General features: G+C 45.8%; 1 protein-coding gene across 10 annotated transcripts in view, besides 1 other annotated feature; it reads right to left on the bottom strand.

The window, feature by feature from the left end:
• The window catches only part of PBX3 (PBX homeobox 3), a 220,005-nt gene that overhangs the window by 175,372 nt on the left and 31,569 nt on the right, over nt 1-13,064 (bottom strand). The gene's annotated exons all lie outside the window — the stretch shown is intronic.
• Nucleotides 12,129-12,816: an enhancer, noted in NCBI's record as "NANOG-H3K27ac hESC enhancer chr9:128541469-128542156 (GRCh37/hg19 assembly coordinates)". NCBI's record gives its function as "activates a minimal SCP1, AML or CMV promoter by ChIP-STARR-seq in naive H9 embryonic stem cells {active_cell/tissue: H9 hESC(naive)}" and the evidence as "EXISTENCE:reporter gene assay evidence [ECO:0000049][PMID:30033119]".

The following is a 13,064-nucleotide window of genomic DNA, read 5'->3' as shown; positions in this document are numbered from 1 at the left end:
AGGAACTACCTAAGACTGGATAATTTATAAAAACAAAGAGGTTTAACTGACTCACAGTTCCACAGGCTGTATGGGAAGCACGGCTGGAGAGGCTTAAGGAAACTTTTTTTTTTTTTTGAGACGGAGTCTGCAACCTCTGCCTCCCGGGTTCACGCCATTCTCCTACCTCAGCCTCCCGAGTAGCTGGGACTACAGGCGCCTGCCACCACGCCCGGCTAATTTTTTTCTATTTTCAGTAGAGACGGGGTTTCACCGTGTTAGCCAGGATAGTCTCGAACTCCTGACCTTGTGATCCTCCCGCCTTGGCCTCCCAAAGTGCTGGGATTACAGGCGTGAGCCACCGCGCCCGGCCTAGGAAACTTAAATCATGGCAGAAGGCAAAGGGGAAGCAGGCACATCTTACATGACCAGAACAGGAGGAAGAGAGAGCACAGGAGGAAGAGAGGGCAGGGGGAGGTGCTACATACTTTTAAATAACCAGATCTCGTGAGAACTCACTCACTACCATAAGAACAGCAAGAGGGAAATCTCCCCCCATGATGCAATCACCTGCCACCAAGCCCCTCCTCCAACATTGGGGATCACAATTTGACACAAGATTCAAGTGGGGATACAAATCCTAGCTAGACAGATAGATAGATGACAGATGATTGACAGAGATAGATAGATAGATAGATAGATAGATAGATAGATAGATAGATAGACAGACAGACAGACAGACAGATAAAAATGTATGTGTACTACAATTATTAGCTAACATCTTAAGGCACTATTAATATACAATTAGGGTGGCCAGGCATGGTGTCTCATGCCTGTAATCCCAGCACTTTGGGAGGCCAAGGCGGGTGGATCACCTGAAGTCAGGAGTTCAAGACTAGCCTGGCCAAAATGGCAAATCCCCGTCTCTACTAAAAAATACAAAAATTAGCCAGGCGTAGTGGCAGGCACCTGTAATCCCAGCTACTCGGGAGGCTGAGGCAGGGAGAACTGCTTGAACCCAGGAGGCAGAAGTTGCAGTGAGCCAAGGTTGCACCACTATATTCCAGCCTGGGCAACAGAGCAAGACTCTGTCTCAAAAAAAAAAAAAAAATATTAGGGTAAGGTTCATTGTTAACAATGGTGGTAATAATTATAAAGACTACAATTGAATTCAGCAGGGAACGGTGGCTCACACCTATAATCCCAACACTTTGAGAGGATCACTCCAGGCCAGAAGTTCAAGACCAGTCCGGGCAACATAGTAAGACCCCATCTCTACAAAAAATAAAAATTAGCCAGGCATGATGGTGCACAACTGCAGTCCCAGCCACTGGGGAGGCTGAAGCAAAAGAATCACTGGAATTCAGGAATTTGAGGCTGCAATAACCTATTATTGTGCCACTGCACTCCAGCCTGGGTGACAGAACAGGACTCTGTTTTAAAAAAATTAAATTAAATTATAAAGAAATAGTTGGCCAGGCACGGTGGCTCATACCTGTAATCCCAGCACTTTGAGAGGCTGAGGCGAGCAGATTGCCTGAGCTCGGGAGTTCAAGACCAGCCTGGACAACATGGCGAAACCCCATCTCTACTAAAAATACAAAAAATTAGCCAGGCGTGGTGGTGCATGCCTGTAGTCCCAGCTGCTAGGGAGGCTGAAGCACGAGAATCACTTGAACCCGGGAGGTAGAGGTTGCAGTGAGCTGAGATCGCGCTACCACACTCCAGCCTGGGTGACAGAGCAAGACTGTCTCAAAAAAAAAAAAAAGAAAGAAAGAAAGAAATAGTCTCTGCAATTTTAATGCTTTGGATGGCTTTCTGTCAGATATTAGAGATCAAAATTATCTTTCCCTCATACACAGTTGACTAAGAGCTTATATCAAGAGTAGAAGTATCATTTCTCCCACTTTCTTATTATACACTTACATTATTCCTCTTATTTTAATCCACGTATTTCTTTGCAGATGTCTTCAGATAACTTGTCCATTTGATGAGCATCAGTTTAGTTACATCTACAAAATACAAATACTCCCAACCAGGAACAGAAAGTGGTAATCTATCAAAACAAACCTGGAACTCCCACTATTTCTTCTCAATCCTGAATGCTCTAAGTAAGCTTCTAACACACAAACCACCAATATTGATTCCTATTTTAAACACTAGTAAAGCTTAAATTCTTACTTTTTAGGAAAGTATACATTAGAATAGCCACAATAGGAATATTTCATAATATCTATTAAATAATAAAATGGATGATGTATACCCTTTCACCCAGAGTGGTAGGCAGCCTCTAAGAAGGCTCCAATGGTCCCACTGCCTACTATTCACACCCTATGTAGTAGCCTCCCCTTGAGCATGGACTGATCTTAATGACTTCACCCTACCAAACAGAATATGGCAGAAGTAATGGGATTCCAAGATTAGGTTACAAAAACACTGTGACTTCCAAATTGGGTTCCCTGTCTCACTCACTCACTCACTCTGAGGGAAGCCAGCTGCCATGCTGTAAGCTGCCCTAAAATGGGGGGCCCAAGTAGGGAAGAACTGATGTCTCTGGCCATCAGTCAGTGAGGACTGAGTACTGTCAATAGTCATGTGAGTGAGCAGAGAGGCAAACCCTCCCCCAAGTGACTCTCAAGATAACTGCAGCCCACTGTCACCTGACTGAAATCTTGTGAGAAACTAAACACAGTGGCACCCTGCTAAACTATGTCTAGCTATCTAACCCACAGAAACCATGAGATGATAAATGTTTGCTGTTTTCAGTCACTAAATTTTAGGGCTATTCCTTATGCAGCAATTGACAACTGAAATTTTATAATAGGAAAAATTGGAGCAATTTCAATATCTATCATCACAAGAATTAAGAAGGAAATTACAGAATAATCACAATAGAATACGATACAGCAGGAAAAATGAATTAACTTGAACTAAATGTGTCAATGTTGAAAATCTTAAAATAAGTGTTGAGTGAAAGCAAATCATAGAAAGATAACAACAGTATGAAACAATCTTAAAGGTTCAAAAACATGCAATATTAGTAAACACTAATAAGAATGGTGAATAATAAATTCAGTGTGGGGAGGAAAGAGAAAAAGGAAGGGAAATGGGATTAGGGAAGGCTACACAGCAAGCTTTCCTTTTTTTTTTTTGAGATGGAGTCTCGCTCTGTCGCCCAGGCTGGGGTGCAGTGGCGCAATCTGGGCTCACTGTAACTTCCACCTCCCAGGTTCAAGCCATTCTCCTGCCACAGCCTCCCAAGTAGCTGGGAGTACAAGCGCATGCTGCCGCAACCAGCTAATTTTTTGTGTTTTTTAGTAGAGACGGGGTTTCACTGTGTTACCCAGGCTGGTCTTGAACTCCTGAGCTCAGGCAATCTGCCCAGCTCGGCCTCCCAAAGTGCTAGGATTACAGACGTAAGCCACCATGCCCGGCCCACAGCAAGCTTTCAGTTACATCTGTAATATTTTATTTCTTAAATGCCAGGAACATTAGTGTTTTTGTATTTTATCTATGCTTTTATATTGTCTGAAATCTTTTGTATTAACAAATTATAACGAAAGTACAGACAATGAATAGATAAATGTAAGTAGAAGTTCTGATATTTTCTTGCCCATCCCAATGGGTTTTGGGATATGTCCTTCCCACGACACCACTGCTTTACTGTAACATTGAGCACACTATATCAATTATCTGTTTAGAAATTTGTCTCTTCCCCTTGGCTGCAAGCAACTTCAAGTCCCAGAATAAGAATTTAGTAAATATTCACATAATAAATTTATGGTATGAACAGTGCTTATATGGGTTTCATTTTCCTAACTTAATATTCTGCTTTTCTAAATAAACTGACCATAGCATGATCTCCACATTAAACAACTAATTATCTAAGAAAAATTAACTTGGCAAGGTAGCATCCACTGTTGGTTATTAACTAATATTAATAATTGTCACATTCATTTAAAATGTTGGCACAAGATTCAGTCTCCTTCTCTATCCCAAGTAATTCCATGAGTCTGGCTTCAGGGAGCATATAAGATATTCAACCAACAACCTAGCCTTACAGTTCTCTGACCTCCTTAAAAAATAAATAAATCACCAATGACCTTTAGCTCCATTTCACTTTGACACACAAGCTCCCAGGGCCACATCCTGAACTTTATCATCCATCACCTAGAAGTGCTTCATTTCTGAAATAAAATTCAAATGTCTCATCCTATGATAACAGTCTTTTACTCCGCCAGTCACCTTCCCTTTCTTGCACTCCACCTATTTATTCCTCAATTTAATTAAACCAAACAATCCTAAAATCCCTCCATTTTCTCATCTATCAGCCACTCCTTTACCTTTCCCATCTATGCAAAATGGATTATATGGTTGAACATCTTAACTATTCTTGCAACAGACCCCTATAATCCATTTCACCCTATCCTTTTCTCTCATTTGCCAAGCAAGCCCCAAGCATATACTCAAGTTGTAGTCGATGTTAACCTGCTAGAGAAATGACAAGTGGTCATGATAGTGCCATTTCAATTTCAGTCTCCAACCTCAGCTGAGTCTTCAATCTGACAATACTTTTCTTATCCTTGGCCAGCTCACTCTTTCATTATCTGGAGTAACTATTCCAGGACTTCATCACTCCCTTCAAACTCTACTTCATCACAGCCCAACTTACTGAAGAGATTATCTTTCCTGCTCATCAAAAAAAAAAAGTTAATCCATGCAGTACACTTTCCCTCAGCTTTCCAATTCCCACTTATAAACTTCTCTACATCAGCCTAGGCAACACAGCGAGACCCCATTTCTACAAGTAAATAAATAAATTAGCCAGGTGTGGTGGTGTACACCTGCAGTCCAAGCTACTGAAGAGGTTGAGTTGGGAGGATCACTTGAGCTAAGGAGGTTGAGGCTGCAGTGAGCCATGATCATGCTACTGCACTCCAGCCTGGGTGACAGAGCAAGACCCTGTCTCGAAAAAATAAAAAATAAATAAAAACTAAAAATAGGCTAGACACAGTGGCTCATGCCTGTAATCCCAGCACTTTGCGAGGCCGAGGTGGGCAGATGACCTGAGGTCAGGAGTTCGAGACCAGCCTGGCCAACATGGTGAAACCCCGACTCTACTAAAAATACAAAAATTAGCTGGGTGTGGTGGTGTGCACCTGTAATCTCAGCTACTCAGGAGGCTGAGGTGAGAGAATCACTTGAACCCAGGAGGCAGAGGTTGCAGTGAGCTGAGATTGGGCCATCGCACTCCAGTCTGGGTGACAGAGCGAAACTCCATCTCAAAAAAAAAAAAAAATCTCTACATACTTACCTATCTCTCACTTTATCTCCAGTCTTAAAAATCGAAATGTCCCGACATCTACTGAAAGCCAACTCTATTTGTGCTCTTAACTCTATTCCTCTGTTCTCCTCTAAGACTCTGCTCCATCATTCATCCCTGTTCTACTCTATTCTCTCCACAGGTCCTCCCACAACTCCAAACCTAATGCTCAAATCTCCTGTCCATATAAAAGAGTAAAAAGAAGTCTTTCACCTTATATCACCTCCTAATCGCTATCTAATTCCCTTTTTCTTTTCATTCAAATGTCACCATTCTACTAAAATAACTTATGATAAGAACACCTTTCACTGTACCACAGGCTCCTGGTTTTCCTTGTACTTTGTGCCCATTGGTTTTCTGCCTCTACTGTGAACTCATCTATGGTGGTATGCCCTGGAACTCTCCCTGATGATCTTAAACACCCTTGCATTTTCCATGATAAGCAGGTGACATCTCAGTTCATATGTGTAGCTCAAATCTCCTCTCTTAGAAAGAAAGATTCAAGCTCTTATACCTAATTACCTGTGAGATATATTCACTGGGCCTTCTCATAGTACCTCAAACTCAACATATTCAAACTAATTTCCCCCTTTTGGGAGTGATATCAGCAGGAAATGGAGTAGGTAGACCAAGGGCCAGTTCTTCCACAGTAACATCAAAAAATCAAGAGAAAACGATCAGAATCAAATTTTTCAGTATGCTAGAAAATAGTCAAAGGTTTACAGCAACCATGTAAACACTGAACTTAAAAAAAAAAAAAGCGACTTTAAACAGTCACCTTTAAAATGAGAGTCTTGTGACATTTTTACTTTCCCTTGTATCATCTCCCAACCTGGTTTAGTGGCAGGCTCAAAGTCAGCCGCCTGAATTTCCACTGTGGGATACTGGTCCCTGGTTCTGAAGAAAGCAGAAGAGATCTTATTCTCAAGAACTATGTTTGTTTCTGGGGCCAGCCTTAAAAATTGTATTAGTCAGTGTTCTCCAGAGGGACAGAACTAACAGGATATATGTATAAATGAAAGAGAATTTATTAGGGAGAATTGACTCACATGATCACGAGGTGAAGTCTCACAATAGGCCGTCTGCAAGCTGAGGAGGAAGGAAGCCAGTAGTGGCTTAGTCCAAGTCAAAAAGCCTCAAAAGTAGGGAAGACGACAGTGCAGCCTTCAGTCTGTGACCAAAGGCCCAGAAGCCCCTGGGAAACCACTGATGTAAGTCCAAGAGTCCAAAGGCCGAAGAACCTGGAGTCTGATGTCCAAGGACAGGAAGCATCCAGCATGGGAGAAAGATGAAAGCCAGAAGATTTAGCAAGCCAGGTTACCCCACCTTCTTCCTGCTTTGTTCTAGCTGCACTGGCAGCTGATTGAATGGTGCCCACCCACGCTGAGGGTAAATCTTCCTCTCCCAGGCCACTGACTCAAATGTTAACCTCCTCTGGCAACACCCTCACAGACACACCCAGAAACAATACTCTACCAGCTATCTAGGCATCCTTCAACCCAATCAAGTTGACAACTAATATTAACCATCCCAAGAACTGACACAAGGCGCTTGTCTGTTTCACCTAATTCAGATCTCACTCAGGGCAGAAAAACAGGGGATATTCTTCCAAAACATTATAAGTAAAAGAAAAGATGTGCAGCCACCTGGGGCAAAAGACTTTAGGTGAGGCAAACAGTAAAGTAACAAAAGCCTAAAAGAAAAGGCTAGCGAAGGGAGAATGTTTCTTAGAGAAATTAGGACATTTAAAAGCATCATATATACTATGAAATTCAGAAAGTCATGGGTATGCTCAGGGCAGGACACATGCTCAGCAAAGACCCAAGAATACTGTGGCTGACCTCTAGGCTCAATACAAACAGAAAGTAAAAACTAAGGCACAGTCGTAAATGACCTTACCAAGTGATGAAGGAATGTCCCCAAACAGAGACAATCCACAAAGGCTGAGAAAGGGGTTTTTTCTTTCCCTTTTTTCCTTTCTTCTTTTTGTTTTTCCTCCTTTATTTTAATTATTTATTTAGGCTCTTGGCATTCAAGGAAATCCCTATCAAAATACTAGCTGAACACAAGCTAATGGAACAGAGACTTCAGAAACCACACATGACAAACATCAACTTTACAAAAATAATTTTTGCAAGTCCAAACACAAACAGCCATAGTCCACTGCAAGCAACAAAAATAAACTCTGAGGAATGAGAAGAATCTGATTTCCAGAGTTACCACCACATTAAAATATCCAATTCTTAACCACAACAACAACAAAATCACAAAACCTGGCTGGGTGCGGTGGCTCACAGCTCTAATCCCAGCACTTTAAGAGGCTGAGGCAGACGGATCACCTGAGGTCAGGAGTTCAAGACCAGCCTGGCCAACATGGCGAAACCCCGTCTGTACTAAAAATACAAAAATTAGCCAGAGTTGGTGCCATACGCCTGTAATCCCAGCTACTCGGGAGGCTGAAGCACAAGAATCACTTGAACCAGGGAGGCAGAGGTTGCAGTGAGCCAAGATCGCACCACTGTACTCCAGCCTGGGAGAAAGAGAGACTTCGTCTCAAAAAATAAAATAAAATAAAACCATGAAACCCATCAAGAAACAAAAACTATGGCCCATCCACAGAAGACATTAACAGAAACTCCCTGAGGAAGCACAGATATTGGACTTGCTAGACAAAGTAAGGGTTTTTGTTTGTTTTTTTCTTTTGAAACAAAGTCTCCATCTGTCACTCAGGCTGCAGTGCGGTGGCATGACCTCGGCTCACTGCAACCTCTGCCTCCTGGGTTCAAGTGATCCTCCCACCTCAGCGTCCAGAGTAGCTGGGATTATAGGCGTGCGCCACCATGCCCAGCTAATTTTCTTGTATTTTTATTAGAGAAGGGGTTTTATCATGTTGGCCAGCCTGGTCTCGAACTCCTGACTTCAGGTGATCTGCCCGCCTCAGCCTCTCAAAGTGCTGGGATTACAGGCATGAAGCTGCTGCTCCCGGCCCAAAATAAGTTGTGAATATGCTTGAAGAGCTAAAGGAAACCATGAACAAGGAGTTAAAAGAAACCAGGAGAATGATGTTTTAACAAAAACAGAGTATTAGCAAAGAGATTAAAACTGCAAAAAGGGATCAGGCCCACGTGGTGGCTGATGCCTGTAATCCCAGAACTTTGGGGGCTGAGGCAGGCATATTACTTGAGGTCAGGAGTTCGAAACCAGCCTGGCCAACGTGGTGAAACCCCATCTCTACTAAAAATACAAAAATTAGCCAAGCATGGTGGCGTACACCTGTAGTCCCAGCTACTCAGGAGGCGGAGGCAGGAGAATCACTTGAACCCAGGAGGCAGAGGTTGCAGTGAGCTGAGATCGTGCCACTGCAGTCCAGCCTGGGCAACATGAGTAAAACTCCCCTCAAAAAAAGAAAAAGAATAGAAGGAAAATGAAAAGAGCCTAAGAGAATATCATGCATCTCAATGTATAATAACGAGACATCACGCATACCATCACACATGTTGGGACATCATGCACACCAACATATAATAATGGGAGTCCCAAAAAGAAAGGAGAGACAGAAAGGGACGGAAATAATATTTGACAAAATATTGGCTTTGAAAGCTTCCAAAATTTGATAAAAGACATTAAATTATACATCCAAAAGGTTCAATAAGCTCTAAGAAAGATACACACAGAGATTCACATTGAGACACATTATAATCAAACTGTTGAAAGAAACAGAATCTTGAAAACAGCAAGAGAAGCAAGCTCATTACATAGAAGGAATCTTCAAAAGGATTAACAGGGAAATTCTTATCAGAAACTATGAAGGTGAAAAAGCAATGGGACAACATATTTAAAGTGCTGAAAGAAAAAAAAACCTGCCTACTAAGAATTCTCTATCTGGTAAAATTGTCCGTCAAAAATGAAAAAAGTAAAGCATTAAAAGTCACCCCAAAGCCAAGAAATTTCACTGTTAGTAGACCTACCTACGCTACAAGAAATGCTAAAAAGGGTCCTTCGGGCTGAAATAAAAGGACACTAAACAGTAAGTCGAAACTATGAAGAAATAAAGAACTCCAGTGAAGATAACCACATAGGTAAATATAAAAGCCAATATTAACATATGTTTGGTATGTAGCTCCTTATTGTTTCCTATATAAATAAAAGGCAAATGCATAAAACAATTATGGCTATTTTAATGAGCACACACGTATAAAAATGTAATTTGTAACAATAATATAAAAGAGAAAAATGGAGTTGTAAAGGAGTAGAGTTTTTATGTGCTATTGAAACTAGGTGGGCAAAACCAGATGATATGGTTTGGCTGTGTCCCTACCCAAATCTCATCTTGAATTCCCACATGTTGTGGGAGGGGAGGGGTGGGACGTAATTGAATCATGGGGGGCAGGTCATTCCCCATGCTGGTCTCATGATAGTTAACAAGTCTCACAAGATCTGATGGTTTGAAAAAGAGGAGTTTCCCTGCACAAGCTCTTATTTGCTGCCATGTGAGACGTCCCCTTCACCTTCCACCATGATTATGAGGCCTCCCCAGCCATGTGGAACAGTAAGTCCATTAAACCTCTTTATTTTGTAAATTGCTCACTCTTGGGTATGTCTTTAGCAGGAGCATGAAAATGAACTAATACACCAGATTGTTATAAACTTAGGATATTAATTGTAATCCCCATAATAATCACCAAGAAAATATCCAAAAATTATACACAAAAGGAAATTAGAAGGGGATCAAATGATATACAATTAAAAACGCAAACACAAAAGAAGGTAATGGAGGGAATGAGGAACAAAAAGGTATAGGACATACTTAGGAAAATACAACATACCAAAACTTATATAGCAAAAGCAATGCTCAGAAGTAAATTTATAGCCATAAATGCCTACGTTAAGAAAAAAAAAAGATCTCAAATCAATAACCTAACTTTATACCTTAAAGAACTAGAAAAAGAAGAAAACATTAAGCCCAAATCTAGCAGAAGAAAGTAAATAATAAAAGTTGGAGTGGAAACAACAAAACACAGAACAGAAAAACAATAGAAAGAATCAATAAGACCAAAATTTGTTTCTTTGAAAAGATCAGGTTCTGCCTCTGCCTCTGCCTCTCCCTCTCGCCTCTCGCCTCTCCCCTCTCCCCTCTCGCCTCTCCCCTCTCCCCTCTCCCCTCTCCCTCTCGGTCACCCTCTCCCTCTCTTTCCATGGTCTCCCTCTGATGCCTAGCCGAAGCTGGACTGTACTGCTGCCATCTCAGCTCACTGCAACCTCCCTGCCTGATTCTCCTGCCTCAGCCGGCCGAGTGCCTGCGATTGCAGGCGCGCGCCACCACGCCTGACTGGTTTTCGTACTTTTTTGGTGGAGACGGGGTTTCGCTGTGTTGGCCGGGCTGGTCTCCAGCTCCTAACAGCGAGTGATCCGCCAGCCTTGGCCTCCCGAGGTGCCGGGATTACAGACGGAGTCTGGTTCACTCAGTGCTCAATGGTGCCCAGGCTGGAGTGCAGTGGTGTGATCTCAGCTCGCTACAACCTCCATCTCCCAGCCGCCTGCCTTGGCCTCCAAAAGTGCCGAGATTGCAGCCTCTGCCCAGCCACCACCCCGTCTGGGAAGTGAGGAGCGTCTCTGCCTGGCTGCCCATCGTCTGGGACGTGAGGAGCCCCTCTGCCTGGCTGCCCAGTCTGGAAAGTGAGGAGCGTCTCTGCCCGGCCGCCATCCCATCTAGGAAGTGAGGAGCGCCTCTGCCCGGCCGCAACCCCGTCTGGGAGGTGAGGAGCGTCTCTGCCCAGCTGCCCCCTCTGAGAAGTGAGGAGACCCTCCGCCCAGCATCCGCCCCGTCTGAGAAGTGAGGAGTCCCTCTGCCCGGCAGCCACCCCGTCTGGGAAGTGAGGAGCGTCTCCGCCCGGCAGCCGCCCCGTCCGGGAGGGAGGTGGGGGGGTCAGCCCCCCGCCCGGCCAGCCGCCCTGTCCGGGAGGGAGGTGGGGGGGGTCAGCCCCCCGTCCGGGAGGGAGGTGGGGGTGGTCAGCCCCCCGCCCGGCCAGCCGCCCCATCCGGGAGGGAGGTGGGGGGGTCAGCCCCCCGCCCGGCCAGCCGCCCCGTCCGGGAGGTGAGGGGCGCCTCTGCCCAGCCTCCCCTACTGGGAAGTGAGGAGCCCCTCTGCCTCGCCAGCCACCCCGTCCAGGAGGGAGGTGGGGGAGTTAGCCCCCCACCCGGCCAGACGCCCCGTCCGGGAGGGAGGTGGGGGGGGTCAGCCCCCCGCCCGGCCAGCCGCCCCGTCTGGGAGGGAGGTGGGGGGGGGGTCAGCCCCCCGCCCGGCCAGCCGCCCCGTCTGGGAGGGAGGTGGGGTCAGCTCCCCGCCCAGCCAGCCGCCCCGTCCGGGAGGTGAGGGGCGCCTCTGCCCAGCCGCCCCTACTGGGAAGTGAGGAGCCCCTCTGCCGGGCCAGCCACCCCATCCGGGAGGGAGGTGGGGGGCTCAGCCCCCCGCCCGGCCAGCCGACCCGTCCGGGAGGGAGGTGGGGGGATCAGCACCTCGCCCGGCCAGCCGCCCCGTCCGGGAGGTGAGGGGCGCCTCTGCCCGGCCGCCCCTACTGGGAAGTGAGGAGCCCCTCTGCCCAGCCAGCCGCCCCGTCCGGGAGGGAGGTGGGGGGGTCAGCCCCCTGCCCGGCCAGCCGCCCCGTCCGGGAGGTGAGGGGCGCCTCTGCCCGGCTGCCCCTACTGGGAAGTGAGGAGCCCCTCTGCCCGGCCAGCCGCCCCGTCCGGGAGGGAGGTGGGGGGTCAGCCCCCCGCCCGGCCAGACGCCCCGTCCGGGAGGGAGGTGGGGGGGTCAGCCCCCCGCCCGGCCAGCCGCCCCGTCCGGGAGGTGAGGGGCGCCTCTGCCCGGCCACCCCTACTAGGAAGTGAGGAGCCCCTCTGCCCAGCCACCACCTCGTCTGGGAGGTGTACCCAACAGCTCATTGAGAACGGGCCGGGATGACAATGGCGGTTTTGTGGAATAGAAAGGGGGAAAAGGTGGGGAAAAGATTGAGAAATCGGATGGTTGCTGTGTCTGTGTAGAAAGAAGTAGACATGGGAGACTTTTCATTTTGTTCTGTACTAAGATAAATTCTTCTGCCTTGGGATCCTGTTGATCTGTGACCTTACCCCCAACCCTGTGCTCTCTGAAACATGTGCTGTGTCCACTCAGGGTTAAATGGATTAAGGGCGGTGCAAGATGTGCTTTGTTAAACAGATGCTTGAAAGGCAGCATGCTCGTTAAGAATCATCACCACTCCCTAATCTCAAGTACCCAGGGACACAAACACTGCGGAAGGCCGCAGGGTCCTCTGCCTAGGAAAACCAGAGACCTTTGTTCACTTGTTTATCTGCCAACCTTCCCTCCACTATTGTCCTATGACCCTGCCAAATCCCCCTCTGCGAGAAACACCCAAGAATGATCAATAAAAAAAATAAAAATTAAAAAAAAAAAAAAAAGGAACAAAGTTCTGACACACATGACAACAGAGATGAACCTTGAAAACATTATGCTGAGTAGAATAAGCCAGACACAAAAGGACAAATATTGTAGGATTCCAGATCTAAACTAGGCAAATTTATAGAGACAAAGCAGATTAGAGGTTACCAAGGGCTAGGGGTGGGGGATGGGAGGTTATTGCTTAATGGGTTCAGATTATCTGTTTGGGATGGTGAAAAAGTTTGCAGTGCACAAGAGTTCCAGTTTTGGAAGTAGATATCAGTGATGGTTGCACAACATCGTGAATGTAATTAATGTGAATTA

Source organism: Homo sapiens, chromosome 9, assembly GCF_000001405.40.
Source record: "Homo sapiens chromosome 9, GRCh38.p14 Primary Assembly".
Taxonomy (NCBI): domain Eukaryota; kingdom Metazoa; phylum Chordata; class Mammalia; order Primates; family Hominidae; genus Homo; species Homo sapiens.
The sequence above is the reverse complement of the archived record's forward strand: the minus strand, read 5'-3'. Positions and strand labels throughout refer to the sequence as shown.